Source organism: Homo sapiens, chromosome 6 (genome assembly GCF_000001405.40).
Source record: "Homo sapiens chromosome 6, GRCh38.p14 Primary Assembly".
Taxonomy (NCBI): Eukaryota; Metazoa; Chordata; class Mammalia; order Primates; family Hominidae; genus Homo; species Homo sapiens.
Window position 1 is genome coordinate 61,669,820 of NC_000006.12, and position 14,276 is coordinate 61,684,095.

The 14,276-nt window shown below is 33.9% G+C and overlaps 1 protein-coding gene across 7 annotated transcripts in view; it reads right to left on the reverse strand.

Moving 5' to 3' along the window:
• KHDRBS2 (KH RNA binding domain containing, signal transduction associated 2) overlaps window positions 1–14,276 on the reverse strand; it is a 743,556-nt gene that overhangs the window by 127,150 nt on the left and 602,130 nt on the right. For 4 of the 7 annotated variants that reach the window (NR_146870.2, NR_146873.3, NR_146874.3 and 1 more), the window contains 2 exons: window positions 11,068–11,241; window positions 9,068–9,128 (listed from right to left, as the gene is read on the reverse strand). Coding sequence is in view for 2 of the 7 variants with exons in the window: in NM_152688.4 (NP_689901.2) it covers window positions 11,144–11,241 (98 nt within the window). In the remaining 5 variants the exon portion in view is untranslated. Of the gene's footprint in view, window positions 1–9,067; window positions 9,129–10,141; window positions 11,242–14,276 lie in introns of those variants that run through there. The other 3 variants (NR_146872.2, NM_152688.4, NM_001350622.2) reach the window with 1 other exon arrangement.

Consider the following 14,276-nt stretch of genomic DNA (forward strand, 5'->3'; position numbering starts at 1 on the left):
TAGTTCCATAGTACATGATACAACTTTAATCATCCCCGCATACACAAATCAACCTATTGGAAATGGGTATTAGCTTATTTTTCACTAAGAAACAAAATTCAGCTCACTTCTGAAAATTGAAATTGCATATATTTACACACCAGAATCCCACTTCAAATAAATAAATAACAAACAGCTGAAGAATGGAGGAGGAAATGAAGGAAAGAAAGACAAAGAAATAGAAAAGAACTATAAACCAATCTATTAACAGCTATCTCTGAGGAGTAGGATTATACATTTCTTATTTTTAAACTACATATTTACTTTACATACTATTTTTGTTTACCTTGAGAATGGACTACTTTGTAATCATAGTTGACAATGTAAAAACAAAGAAGCCCTCCAAAAGTACTAAGTTCCCATTAATTCTGTCAAATCCTAAGACAATCATTATTTGTACCTGAATTACTCACTAGAAACAAAAAAATCTTTAAAAAGTTATGCCAATTTGTGCTTCATTAAAGGTTATCAGGTGATAAAAGGATTCCAGAGAAGTTTCTCTGATGAAATGTGATATTACTTATTTTACAAATTATTGCCTTACAAGAAAGCATAAAGCAGCATATCTACATAAATTCTAAATAATTATTTACTGGTCAATAAATTAATTTATACTCATAAACCCCTAACAAGAAAGTTAAAAGACACAGTTTAAAAATTCAACATTAATTTCATTTTAAAGAATATCTTCAAGCAACATATAATTATAATTTTCCCTGTTTAAAGATATTTAAAACTGCCTTCATTCCAGTCACAGACTTTATTTAATGGTCTTTGTAAATTCCGTAAATAAGTGTTCATTTCTAATTTTAAAGTTTATACTTTGAAAAAATTACAGAAGTTGGACAAATCAGAGATGTTTGCTCATCTAGTTCATCCTCTTATACTTTATAGATAAGAAATCAAAATTTTATGAACAGAGATTACATATTAATGTTAACAGTTGTTATTTTTCCATTTTCATTAAATATATTTCTCTTTCCTTTTATAATTTCTGGTTTACAATGGACACGTATTGGTTTCATAATTAACTCAATAAACATTTCTCATTGTAGGAGCTCTGTTGAATAGATTGGACACTGCACTCTCCCACATAGCTGTCAATTGCCTTTCTCTTTGTCTTCTCATTTCCCCATATGGTATTGCGAAAATGACACAAGACACTGAGAAGATAGGAGCATGATGACATTACAGTAGTTGAAAAATTTCATCATGTCTAAAAAAGTAGACTGTGAATTTAGAGGATACGAAATATGGTGTACCATTGTGAGACAAAAGACAATGAGACAGAAGAGAGGGAAAACAGTAGAACGTTTTTCTACTGATGTAAGTCATCCTGAGAGGCATCAAGATGATAGAAAACCTGTGAGATCAAGCATCTCCAATTTTCTCCTGGGTATAGATCCTTCACTATATTCCATGGTGAAGTATGAAGCATCGTGGAACAGGAACTTAAGATTAGTGTTCAGTAACTAGTTGCCAATTTTTAAGTTGGTTCATTCTGTATTTTTTTGTGTTTGGGTATAAAGAAAGATAAGCCAGCTGTTGTTAGGGCAACTGGTAGTATATGAATCAGACAACTATTTCTCCTGTTTTCTCAATTCCTCTCATAATAAAGTGTAAGAGACTGAGAAAACAACATATCAAGTAGAGTGACTTTCTCCAATGCACACTGTAAATATTCTTTTGAATAACAATTAATAATTTCTACATAAAGAGACTAAGAAACTAATTTTAATGATGGATTTGGAAAACTGGTACCTGTTACCAAAAACAGCTATCTTATTGTTACCTCAGATATTTAATTGGAAACTAGAATTTAACTAGAATTTTGCCAAATGTTACACATTATATCGACAACAGGAAATGCCTTTTAAAAATATTTAACACTGAATGGTATCTTCACTTGGGTTCTTAACACATGACTGCATGGCTTATACAAGTATATTTCTAGTTTGAAATTGACCCTTATTCTTTTTTTAAATTTATTTATTTATGATTATTATACCTTAAGTTTTAGGGTACATGTGCACAATGTGAAGGTTAGTTACATATGTATACATGTGCCATGCTGTGTGCTGCACCCACTAACTCGTCATCTAGCATTAGGTATATCTCCTAATGCTATCCCTGCCCCCTCCCCCAACCCCACAACAGTCCCCAGAGTGTGATGTTCCCCTTCCTGTGTCCATGTGTTCTCTTGTTCAATTCCCACCTATGAGTGAGAATATGCGGTGTTTGGTTTTTTGTTCTTGGGATAGTTTACTGAGAATGATGATTTCCAATTTCATCCATGTCCCTACAAAGGACATGAACTCATCATTTTTTATGGCTGCATAGTATTCCATGGTGTATATGTGCCACATTTTCTTAATCCAGTCTATCATTGTTGGACATTTGGGTTGGTTCCAAGTCTTTGCTAATGTGAATAATGCCGCAATAAACATACGTGTGCATGTGTCTTTATAGCAGCATGATTTATAGTCCTTTGGGTATAAACCCAGTAATGGGATGGCTGGGTCAAATGGTATTTCTAGTTCTAGATCCCTGAGGAATCACCACACTGACTTCCACAATGGCTGAACTAGTTTACAGTCCCACCAACAGTGTAAAAGTGTTCCTATTTCTCCACATCCTCTCCAGCACCTGTAGTTTCCTGACTTTTCAATGATTGCCATTCTAACTGGTGTGAGATGGTATCTCATTGTGGTTTTGATTTGCATTTCTCTGATGGCCAGTGATGGTGAGCATTTTTTCATGTGTCTTTTGGCTGCATAAATGTCTTCTTTTGAGAAGTGTCTGTTCATGTCCTTTGCCCACTTTTTGATGGGGTTGTGTGTTTTTTTCTTGTAAATTTGTTTGAGTTCATTGTAGATTCTGGATATTAGCCCTTTGTCAGATGAGTAGGTTGCGAAAATTTTCTCCCATTTTGTAGGTTGCCTGTTCACTCTGATGGTAGTTTCTTTTGCTGTGCAGAAGCTCTTTAGTTTAATTAGATCCCATTTGTCAATTTTGGCTTTTGTTGCCATTGCTTTTGGTGTTTTAGACATGAAGCCCTTGCCCATGCCTATGTCCTGAATGGTAATGCCTAGGTTTTCTTCTAGGGTTTTTATGGTTTTAGGTCTAAGGTTTAAGTCTTTAATCCATCTTGAATTGATTTTTGTATAAGGTGTAAGGAAGGGATCCAGTTTCAGCTTTCTACATATGGCTAGCCAGTTTTCCCAGCACCATTTATTAAATAGGGAATCCTTCCCCCATTGCTTGTTTTTCTCAGGTTTGTCAAAGATCAGATAGTTGTAGATATGTGGTGTTATTTCTGAGGGCTCTGTTCTGTTCTATTGATCTATATCTCTGTTTTGGTACCAGTACCATGCTGTTTTGGTTACTGTAGCCTTGTAGTATAGTTTGAAGTCAGATAGTGTGATGCCTCCCGCTATGACAAACCCACAGTCAATATCATACTGAATGGACAAAAACTAGAAGCATTCCCTTTGAAAACTGGCACAAGACAGGGATGCCCTCTCTCACCACTCCTATTCAACATAGTGTTGGAAGTTCTGGCCAGGGCAATTAGGCAGGAGAAGGAAATGAAGGGTATTCAAATAGGAAAAGAGGAAGTCAAATTGTCCCTGTTTGCAGACGACATGATTGTATATCTAGAAAACCCCATCGTCTCAGCCCAAAATCTCCTTAAGCTGATAAGCAACTTCAGCAAAGTCTCAGGATACAAAATCAATGTACAAAAATCACAAGCATTCTTATACACCAACAACAGACAAACAGAGAGCCAAATCATGAGTGAACTCCCATTCACAATTGCTTCAAAGAGAATAAAATACCTAGGAATCCAACTTACAAGGGACGTGAAGGACCTCTTCAAGGAGAACTACAAACCACTGCTCAAGGAAATAAAAGAGGATACAAACAAATGGAAGAACATTCCATGCTCATGGGTAGGAAGAATCAATATCGTGAAAATGGCCATACTGCCCAAGGTAATTTACAGATTCAATGCCATCCCCATCAAGCTACCAATGACTTTCTTCACAGAATTGGAAAAAACTACTTTAAAGTTCATATGGAACCAAAAAAGAGCCCGCATCGCCAAGTCAATCCTGAGCCAGAAGACCCTTATTCTTTAAAGCAGAGTTTTGATCTACAGATTGACGAATAAAAGCTTGAAGTTGCTTTCATGCTTATTTAATCATGTGAGTGGTTTTCTTAAATGTGAAAATGGAATTTAGATTATAAATGAATTCATTTGTTCCACCAATGACTGTAGTCATGCTTTGTGGCAAGTGTGGAATACTTTCATCTATGTTTTTCTATGATGAAATCAGAATGATGAATGGGGAAAGATCAAAGTAAAATGACTGACTTCAAGTTAAGATGTTTTGTCATATCATTTTTTACATCAATATTCTTCATATTGCTGCAGAACAGAAATTATGTCAAGGCTACCTGGAATTCTGTCTCCTCTTTTTGATCAAATTTATTCAGTTAGAAAACTCCACAGTATTTTGGAAAATGTGTGGGTTATCAAACTTTGTTTTAAATTTTGGCTTTGCTATACATCTTAGCAGTGTGACACTACTTCCTCTTCTGTAAAATGAGTTTAATTATACTTCATTTGCATTCTTGTTCAAAGAATTACAGATGCTTCAAGTAAGTTTTTATGTGAAAATTCTAGTAACTTGTCCAGCATATATGCTCAAAAACCAGAAGATTCCACTATCATTATTGTTATTAATGCTATATACCCTTATATCAATCATAAATCATGTAATCAACTTTAACAACTACTATACAATTCAGTATTTTCAATCATTTACTTACTACATGATTTTTTTGCAGTAAAAGTTAAACATTGTTTTAGCAACAGGCCTTTTGATACTGAAACTTTGTATGTGATACTCAGCCAGCTCAAATTACTGATCACTTTTCTCTCTTCCCTTTAGAAACAAGACAAAACAACCCTACAAACTTCGGTATTACATGAACGAAAATATAGAGAGAATGATATAAGGAGTAACATTTTAAAATTTTATTTATTGTTATGTAATAGAGTACATATTTTTGGAGTACAGGTGATAATCTAATATGTTCGTATAATTTGTAAAGATCAAATCAGTGTAATTGGGATGTCCACCACCTTAAATATTTGTCTCTATTTATGCAAGAAATGTTTGAATTAATCTCTTCCAGCTACTTTGAAATGTATGATAGATTATTATGAACCACAGTCACCCTACTGATCTATCAAACACTTGGTCTTATTTCTTCTAACTATATATTTTTACTCATTAGTCAAACTTAAAAAGTTACATTTTAAAAAAGCATTGTAGCTTTTAAAATACTAGTCTATATATTTTCATGTAAAGACCTAAAAGAACAAGAGTAATCATTTAATAACATAGTTTTAAAAATAATTTCCTTTCAAAGAATTCTTGATAACCTTTCATATGTCATTTTGTGACAACTTTATTTAAAAACTGTTAGTGCTTCAACTGTTATTAAGCTAAATGGTCACAGTTCTATTAATACGGTATACTAAAAGTGAAAATTATCTAAATATTACACTAAATATTATCTAAATATCATTTTGTGACAACTTTATTTAAAAACTGTTAGTGCTTCAACGGTTATTAAGCTAAATGGTCACAGTTCCATTAATACTGTATACTAAAAGTGAAAATTATCTAAATATACATTAAATATTATCTAAATATTACATAGTGACCTCAGGGCACTATAAGACCTCAGGACACCACTATTCAGTTTCCTAAATGGCATCAAATTGATTCTGATGTAATCATATTTGAGTTCAGTAATACTTTTTGTTGCCCAGATATTAGTAGGCACAAATAATTTATTCTTAATTTTATTATTACTAAAATACTTTGTTTAGTTAGTCTGATTGTCTAGTTTTTAGCTAATCTGATTTGTTTATTTAATTTGATTTTTCAGTGAGGTTTCCAGTTGTTATGGGATCATCTAACCAAGAGTTAGAGCATTATCTGAAAATATACATAGACCACGCATACAGATAACTTTAAAATATGCTTAGGCTGCACTATTATCTAAAAACCTTAAAATGCCATGCAAGTTTGTGTCACTTGCATGAGGTGGATGTCAGACATGATGTTTGACAACTTTGGGAGCCATCACATTGAAGATCATGAGGGCAGACATGATGCCATGAACCCATATGGGACCAGCATTGTTTCCTGATACTGACAAGAGAAGGCATCCTCTGTTCGTGCATATGCTTGCCAGTTAGGACTACTTGCTGATGGTTTTTGTTCAAATAAAAGTTGCCACTAAAAGGATACTAACTTAAAGAAATTATCACTCTCTGTCTCTGGAGAAGCCTAGCATATTCATTTATGATTATTTTAAGAGTGAGGCAAGTTATGACTTGCCTATAAATGTCTCTGCTATATATAATTATATTTTTCTAAACCTTAACTTGATTTCAAACTTAAGTCTCCATTCCGCTGAGTGCAGAAAAATCATCCCAGCCAATTCAGATTAATTTTGATCAGAAGTTCCTTTGTCAGGGATTTATTTTTCCCCTTCTCTTTTTCCTGGCTTGGATTTAAGTTCTGGAGGCACTGGTGGCAGGGAGCAGCTGATCTTCTCACCTTTCCATGTTATTGTGTCCACTGACAACATCTGCATCCTGGCCAGCACTGGTCTATGTTGAAGCTACTGCATCCTCCCTGCCTTCCTGTGAAAGCAATTGTGTGTGCAGTTTTCTCTGCCAGACTTGCTTCACTCTTGCTAGTGCAGTGAAACATCCTATAGATACTTCTACAGGATTGCGCCTCACACAGAGTGGTGTGGACAACTCTGTGAGGCTTGCTGCCTCCCAGACTCCCCTTTAGTCAGAGGTCCTCTCTGTGTTCCAAACCCATCTGAGGCTTTTATTGGATAAGTGACACAGTGTATAGAACCCATATTAAAGGCCATGCTAATATTTTAGATATTGCTGCCTCTTGAGCTCTCTTCTGAGCCTGGACAACCTTTATCTTGCAGACATATGTAGGTAGGTAGTAGAAGTCTTTTATATCTACTGTTTAATGCATAAACTTTATGTTCAAAGTAAATCAGGCTTACGTTACTCAAAATGAAGTTATCTGAAAATCAAAATTCCCTTTCTTGCAAATCATTGTTTTTGTACTTAAAAATAATGTTCTCTTTTCTTGTTCAACACTAATTTTTCTGCTGCGATAACCCTGCCCTGAGTTAATGCATATAAAGATCTAGTCTGAATGGTGAGAGAGTCATAGGTTTATAAGACCACAACAACAATCAAATAATTACAGTGAATAAAAAGTCATATTGATTAACACATCAAAAGAATAACAACCTATAGCTGGTTGTTCTTTCATTGCTTTATCAGATCAAGCCCACTGTTTGAAATGGATAAAAGAGAATAATGAGTAGGATGTCTGGGTGAGAGATTCTTTTTCCTCTTGCTTTACAAAAATAGTGACAATTTTTATACTCAAATATATATGAAATGTTACTGATAAGTAAAATTTCAGAATTTAACTCTGTAATTTTTGATGTGCAATCTTGCAGAGAAAAGAACTTTAGTTGAAGCAATACAGTATCAAATAATTGTTTTAAGAGTTTGAATTTTAGAAAAGCTGTCTCAGGTGAAGGGGCAGTTAGTAATGATAAAATTGACTAAATGTGAGGTTTATCTTGTCTTACGGGGGTAGTTTTATTAGGAACAGCACTCATTCTTTACTTCAAACCTGTAATAGCTTCTTCTTCCTTTTCCTTATAAAATTTGAACAATTCAACACAGCACTTAGTGACAACTGGGAACTGACTTGAACCCATAGTATTTTCAGGCTTTGCCTTTTCTCTGTGTACTTTTGTAAGTCTGCCCCTCAGGGCCCACTGGGCTTCTGCTTTCCTCTCAAACACATTGAATTTTTCCAGCTGCACAAACTGAGACAGCCTATTCCCCTCACCAGGAGGTGTTGCCTTCCTCACAGCGAATGAGCTACTCCTTTCCTTCCACTCCACCTCATATCTCTCTCAGTCTCTGTCACTGCCCCCTTTTCCCCCATCATAAGGAATCTCCAGGCTCTCTCATAGCTCTCCTACAGCCGATCATTAAAGTTAACATATATTATGGATATTTATGTAGTAAAAACAGGACTAGACACAGAAGATTAAAACTTGGGGTTTAAAACCCTGCTTTAAACATCAGACCAAGTCGATCATTAAAGTTAACATATATTATGGATATTTATGTAGTAAAAACAGAACTAGACACAGAAGATTAAAACTTGGGGTTTAAAACCCTGCGTTAAACATCACACTAAGTCATTTCAGTTCTTTGAGCATCAGCTCAGCCTGTGGATTTCATAACTGTCCCTGCACTCTTTTCAGTTGAAGTTTATTGGCTAAAGTTTTCAACTTCTCGTGTACGGAAACCAAGTCTCAATTTCAAACAGCGATTTTACTCCGTAACTATCTGCTAAATAAAATGGAATGCTGGATGAGAAGCAAAAAGCTTACTGATCAGTCTAATGGGATAACTGGGGAAAATAATGGTAATGTTTAGTTATTTTATTTTATTCTTATTGACAAGGGATAGGTAAGGAGTTGGTCAGGGACTACCCTGTCCCTTCCCTTTATTTTAGCCAATGATTGTGAGTTCCTTCTCCTATAACCAAGTTTTATTGCGCTTTCTTTGTAAAACTAAGGAGAGGTAGAATATAGTAGTTCATAGCAAAGAAAAAGGCAGAAGATTAACTACTAATTCACAATTCACTTGACAAGCTTCTGATTAAATTCACAAAGTCTTGCCAGGTAAATACTAAATCATGCCACTTTATTTCAAAGAGGACAAAAAATACTTCAATTTCTTGACAACAACCTAAGCCTTTTCAGTAGTTCAACAAGTGGCATTAGGTGTTTTAGCTCATCACTATAGCTTCACGTTTTATCATGGGTTCATGCTGATGAGATTATCTATTTCAAATAAGACAAAAAATAAGCTTACCTCCATCCTTCTTAGCAAATCACATCGGTTATTCAATTATGTGTTCTTTGTTTGTGGGTACCTGAAATAATGAGAAGGAATAGAAAAAGAAAATTAAATATAACTCAACAGCATTTTGTAAAAGGCAAATATTTACAATTTTAATTGATGACAGACACACACTTCATAATACGATTAGCATGCAACTCCAGCTGCAAAAACTGAACAGCAATATGCCTAAGCTGGTTAGCAGCAAAAAAGTAAACCAATCACATCGACAAAAAGCCACCATAAACAAAAAAACTGTATTTAAAAGATTAACAGTTTTGGCATTCATCCCTAGCATCAAGTCTTTCACTTTCTTTTTTTCCATCAAAATTTAGCTTACATTTGAAGTTAGCAAGAGTTGCATTACTATTATTGTTAATTTTAGTTCTGTTTATTGCCTTGAGGGTTATATAATGTCAAATAATTTTGGTGCCTCTAGTTAATTTTAATTAGTTGTTTTAATAGCCTATAGACCTATTTGTTATATTTTTGTAGGTTTACTTTTTTAACTATCAGGAACTTAATAACTGAGAATATTTAACATTACTGTTGCATAGGCAAAATTACAGAGTTACTATTAGTGTTACCTGTTTAACGTTTAGTCATCCTTTGAGTCCTGCGACATATTTCCTTAATAATCATCAGCCATCAAGTCTGATAGTCTCAAAAGAAATATCAGCCCTCTAAACTGCCTTCTAGGGCGGTGATATTTAGCACTGAAAATTACAAATAAAGTTTTTGAGGTTGAATAGCAACAACTGGCCAGTGACACTGATGATTTGTTTGTCAAAACAAATTGTTATAAACTACGCGAATGAAGTCCACGCACTCCTTTGAGTGAAAACAATAAAGTGAATCTACGCAATGCTTACATGTTGGATGGGATATTTAATGTGCGGGGAAACTCAAAGGTTGAAGAACTAGGCATTTAGACAGTGGTAAGTGGTAATCTTACCTCTTTATACTCCATTACTCTTTCTCACGAGAGACATGCTAATGCAAACAAGTCAATCAGAATTTGTGTTTAGCAAGATAAAGCTTAGAGGATAGTTTAAAATCCATTTATTATTCTAAATCCATTTTTTTCCATTAACATGTTATACATTAGTGTTTACTAACCATGATTCATGTAACAGTTTAGTTTGTTAACTTTTAAATTATTTAACAACCATAAGTTATTAATACATTTTTAAGTATTACACAAATATCTTAAAACAGACTTGGGTTCATTTTTGTAATTTTTAAATAGAAAACATTTTAGGCATCTCTTGAAGAAGAAATAAAGCAGGCATTTAAAGCTAGAAAACAAGTAATTCCAAATTTAATTTTTACAAAAGTTTTCAGCTTTATTGACAAATTATGGCAAACATATTTGACAAATTGTGGTTTCCTATTTAGAGAAGCTTACACATGGAACTTTATGTGTGTTTTTTTTTCTTTTTTAACAAATACAGGTTAAAACACTGAACAAATTCAGTTAGCTACATACATACAGTAGCTGCTTGTTTTCAACCCCATTAAAACAGCATTAAAATTAAATTTACAAACTTAATATCAAACATCTTTGTCTAACTAACAGATATTAAAAGACAGGTTAAAACATCTTATCTACAACTTTATTATCAGCTAGTTCAAAAATCATATTACAGTCTTTTAGCAACCCTAAACAAAGTTTCTGCTAGTTGGTTGAGACTCAAAATCTGTTAACAAATTCATGCTTTTCCTCAAAAAAAAAAAAAAGAAAAAGAAAAAAAAAAGATTACACACAACAATGAAAAACAACCAAGAGAATATCATCCTACTGAAAGGTTTATAGACTATGCTTGCTAATGTCTTTTTCAGTCTGTTTTGTAAAATAATACTAGTGTCAATGTCACGCCAACAGTACAGAGGGAAATACTAGAAATATATGGGAGTAATCATGAGCAGTTATCCCTAGAATAGAAACAAACAAACAAAAAAAGGACTATTACTTGTCTTGTTGCTGTTTATGTGGAGACCACAGGCTATGAATTGTCTTTGAGGTGAGGTCACAGGTGGGAAGGACCTTCAATATCTACCATAGGGGTGTTCCCTGTATCCCCCTCTGGCTGACCTTTGCGGTGGTGCCTTCAAGCTAGAGCGGGTTGTGGCCCATTCTTCTGGTGCTGTGAAAAAGAGAAAGATAGTAACACACACATGACTTCACAGTTACCAAAAATAGTCATTTAAGACACAATAGTTGACCGAGAAAAAGAAAACAAAAGATCTCAACACCGAACGCTAAAGCCTATTTTTTCCACATCGTGAGACCATCAAAAAAGTGTGTGTATATAAATGTGTACTGTGTATTTATTATGTGTTAGATTTAAATGCCACAAAATAGAAAGAGGAGTATCAATGTAAACCCCTGCCCATAAAATCTTTTTACATAGAATTCTTAAAAATAAATAAATAAATTGGATATAGGAAACCAGTAGTCCTTAGCCCTTGAATAACTTGAGAATCACCTGGAAATATTAAACAATCAAAATAAAAGATAACTAACACCTGCTCTCTGTCCCCCAAATCTACTGATTAGAAAACTCTATGGGCTGGGACCTACGGTTTGGTATTTTTCAAATACTCCCCAGATGATAGTTATATGGTCCAGGGTTGAGATCCATTGTGTTAAATTGTATAGAGAAAGTGAGAGACAAGCAGAATATAGAGTAGAAAAAACCTTAAGCAGCAAAATCAGTAAACAAAACAAAACACAAAGATATCAGTTTTTCCAAGTAAACAACTCAGTAAATAAAGAAGTATTAGTACACCAGGAAAACTCCATTTACCTGCTAATTTTGGCTAGGTTCCAAAACATTGAGGGTAGTAGAAATCTATTATTCCAAAAAAGCAAGAAACAAGTAACCAAGCTTTTGAGTACTGTGGAAAATAGCTATTGTAAAATCTGTGTCCCCAGAAAAGAAATGCAATTCTTCTTTAAAATAACTCAATGTTGGCTTTATGGTGACATTTTATGTGATTCCAGCAACTAGGTTATTTTGGTCTCTCAATCAGAATTTAGTTCCTCATCAAGAGCAGATTTCATGCATGGGTGTGTAAAAGGAGGTGCAGACAAAGGAAAGAAGGTTACTAGAGACGCATAGATATTGATAATTGATATATAAAAAAATGGAAATATTAACTGGGAAACAATTGCAGATTGAGGGCAACTAATGTAGGGCATTTGCCCCCAGATAGTTCCTCCGATCATAAGAATTAGTTGAGAAAGACTACTAGAAAAGCATAAAAAATTTCAATTGTACTCATTATAATATAGAGCAAATGAAAACAATCTACTATGTAGAAAAATGATCAAAAGTTTATCATTGTTGGGAAAAATGGCACTTAAGTGGACAAATATTAGTTTTTTGAGAATATTCTCACCAGGGCATTATTATTACAACTGATACCTGATAATAAATAAAAAATTATATCTCTTTCACTGTTTAGTCTTTTATAGGATATAAAATAGGAGTAAGAAAGAAATAAATATAACAAATGTTCCCATTGCTCAAAATACAGGTTTACTTGGATCAGAGGTTGGCATACTCTGGCCTGTGAACCAAATTTGGCCAGCTGATTGTTTTATAAATAGTTTTACTGGAACACAGGCATGCTGTTTATTTACATATTGTCTATTGCTGCTTTCACGATACAAAGGAAAAGTTCAGTAACTGTGATAGAGATTATACTGCTTGAAAAGCCTAAAATATTTATACTCTGGGCTTTTACAGAAAAAGTTTACAGATCTGTGCTCTAGACCATGTTGTTTTTGGTGGGAAAATGCAGATGTTGGTCTTTCTGATGTAATCTTTTGAGGGCAGGAATTTATCCCCAAACCATTTGACTTTATCAACATAAAAATGAAAAGAATTCCATGTATTTGCTTGATTGGAACTAAATAAAACTGTTTTTGGTGTACTCAAAGGGAAAACACATTCAGTGTGTGCAAGCTTGAAAGTACCTTCTTAGCCTTATGTAAAATGAATATTTACACCACGTTTATGAGATAATCCAGGCTATATCATTGTTTTTGTCCTCTGATGGTAAAATGTATCCCAATTTATCATGGTTTTTAACAAAAAGAATGTACTACTTTTTGCTCCAATTATTCCAGAGTGTTAGAAATCCCTGGGTTTCACTCTACAGGATTTAAGAGCTGAGACAATAGAGGCTTCAAGTTTTCCCAGGAAATAGAAGTCCCAGGTCCTTTTTTAGATTCTGAATGTTCCTGAAAAACAGCTAAACAATCATGAGCGGAGTGACAGAATACTTGTCACATACACTCCCAGATTTTTTCAGAATTTTAAATTGACATAAACCTAGGGACTTGCTACAGAGGACATAAGTGTTTAATAACTACTCATCAACTTGGCTTCAGTTGACTTTTTCTAAATCTCTAGGGCAGTTAATTGATGAGCTAAAACTCTTCATTTCCTAAATGTTAGCCAACATTAGAATAGGGACTGTTGCTATTCACTGTTGTTTCCCAAGTGCCTGGGAGAAATTCAATGCCTAGTTAGGGCTGAATGTAGTGAAAGGTTACATGAAAGAAAGGATGGATGAATGAACAAGGGAACTATGCAGAAAGTTCCAGTGATAATTCAAAAAACAGAAACAGTTGAGCTAAAGAAATTTAACATTTATTTAAAAAACTCTTTAATTAGAAATCTTATATATTTGTTATAGAGTTAAAGATCAGACTTCTTACTCAAAAGGGTTATCTAAGTATCAAAAATATTTCACTATTGAATTCAATGAAGTAATCGTAGTGCGATCTCATTATTAAAAAGTACAAAAGTATCATATTTCATGGCACAAATATGTGCTCTTTTATAACGCTCTGCTTCTATGTGAATTAATACTATGCTCTTTCTCCTTGCTCAAGGCTAGGAAAATGGAAATTATTGTTAGTTCATGATACTTGTACGTGGAAAAGTAAATCGCCAGCCAAAGTGATTTCCTATCCAAGCAAAAGTAAGTTTCTAATTTTCCAAGATTCCATACCATTAGCAGAGGAAATTAAGGACTTATTTCACTTAATTCAGACCTTGCTTCCATTGTTTACATGTTCTTGGTAACAATAGCAAAGAGAGATCAGGAAAAGTATTATTTTTATTTGTGTCCATCTTTATCTTTCCTAATATCAGAATGTTTATGT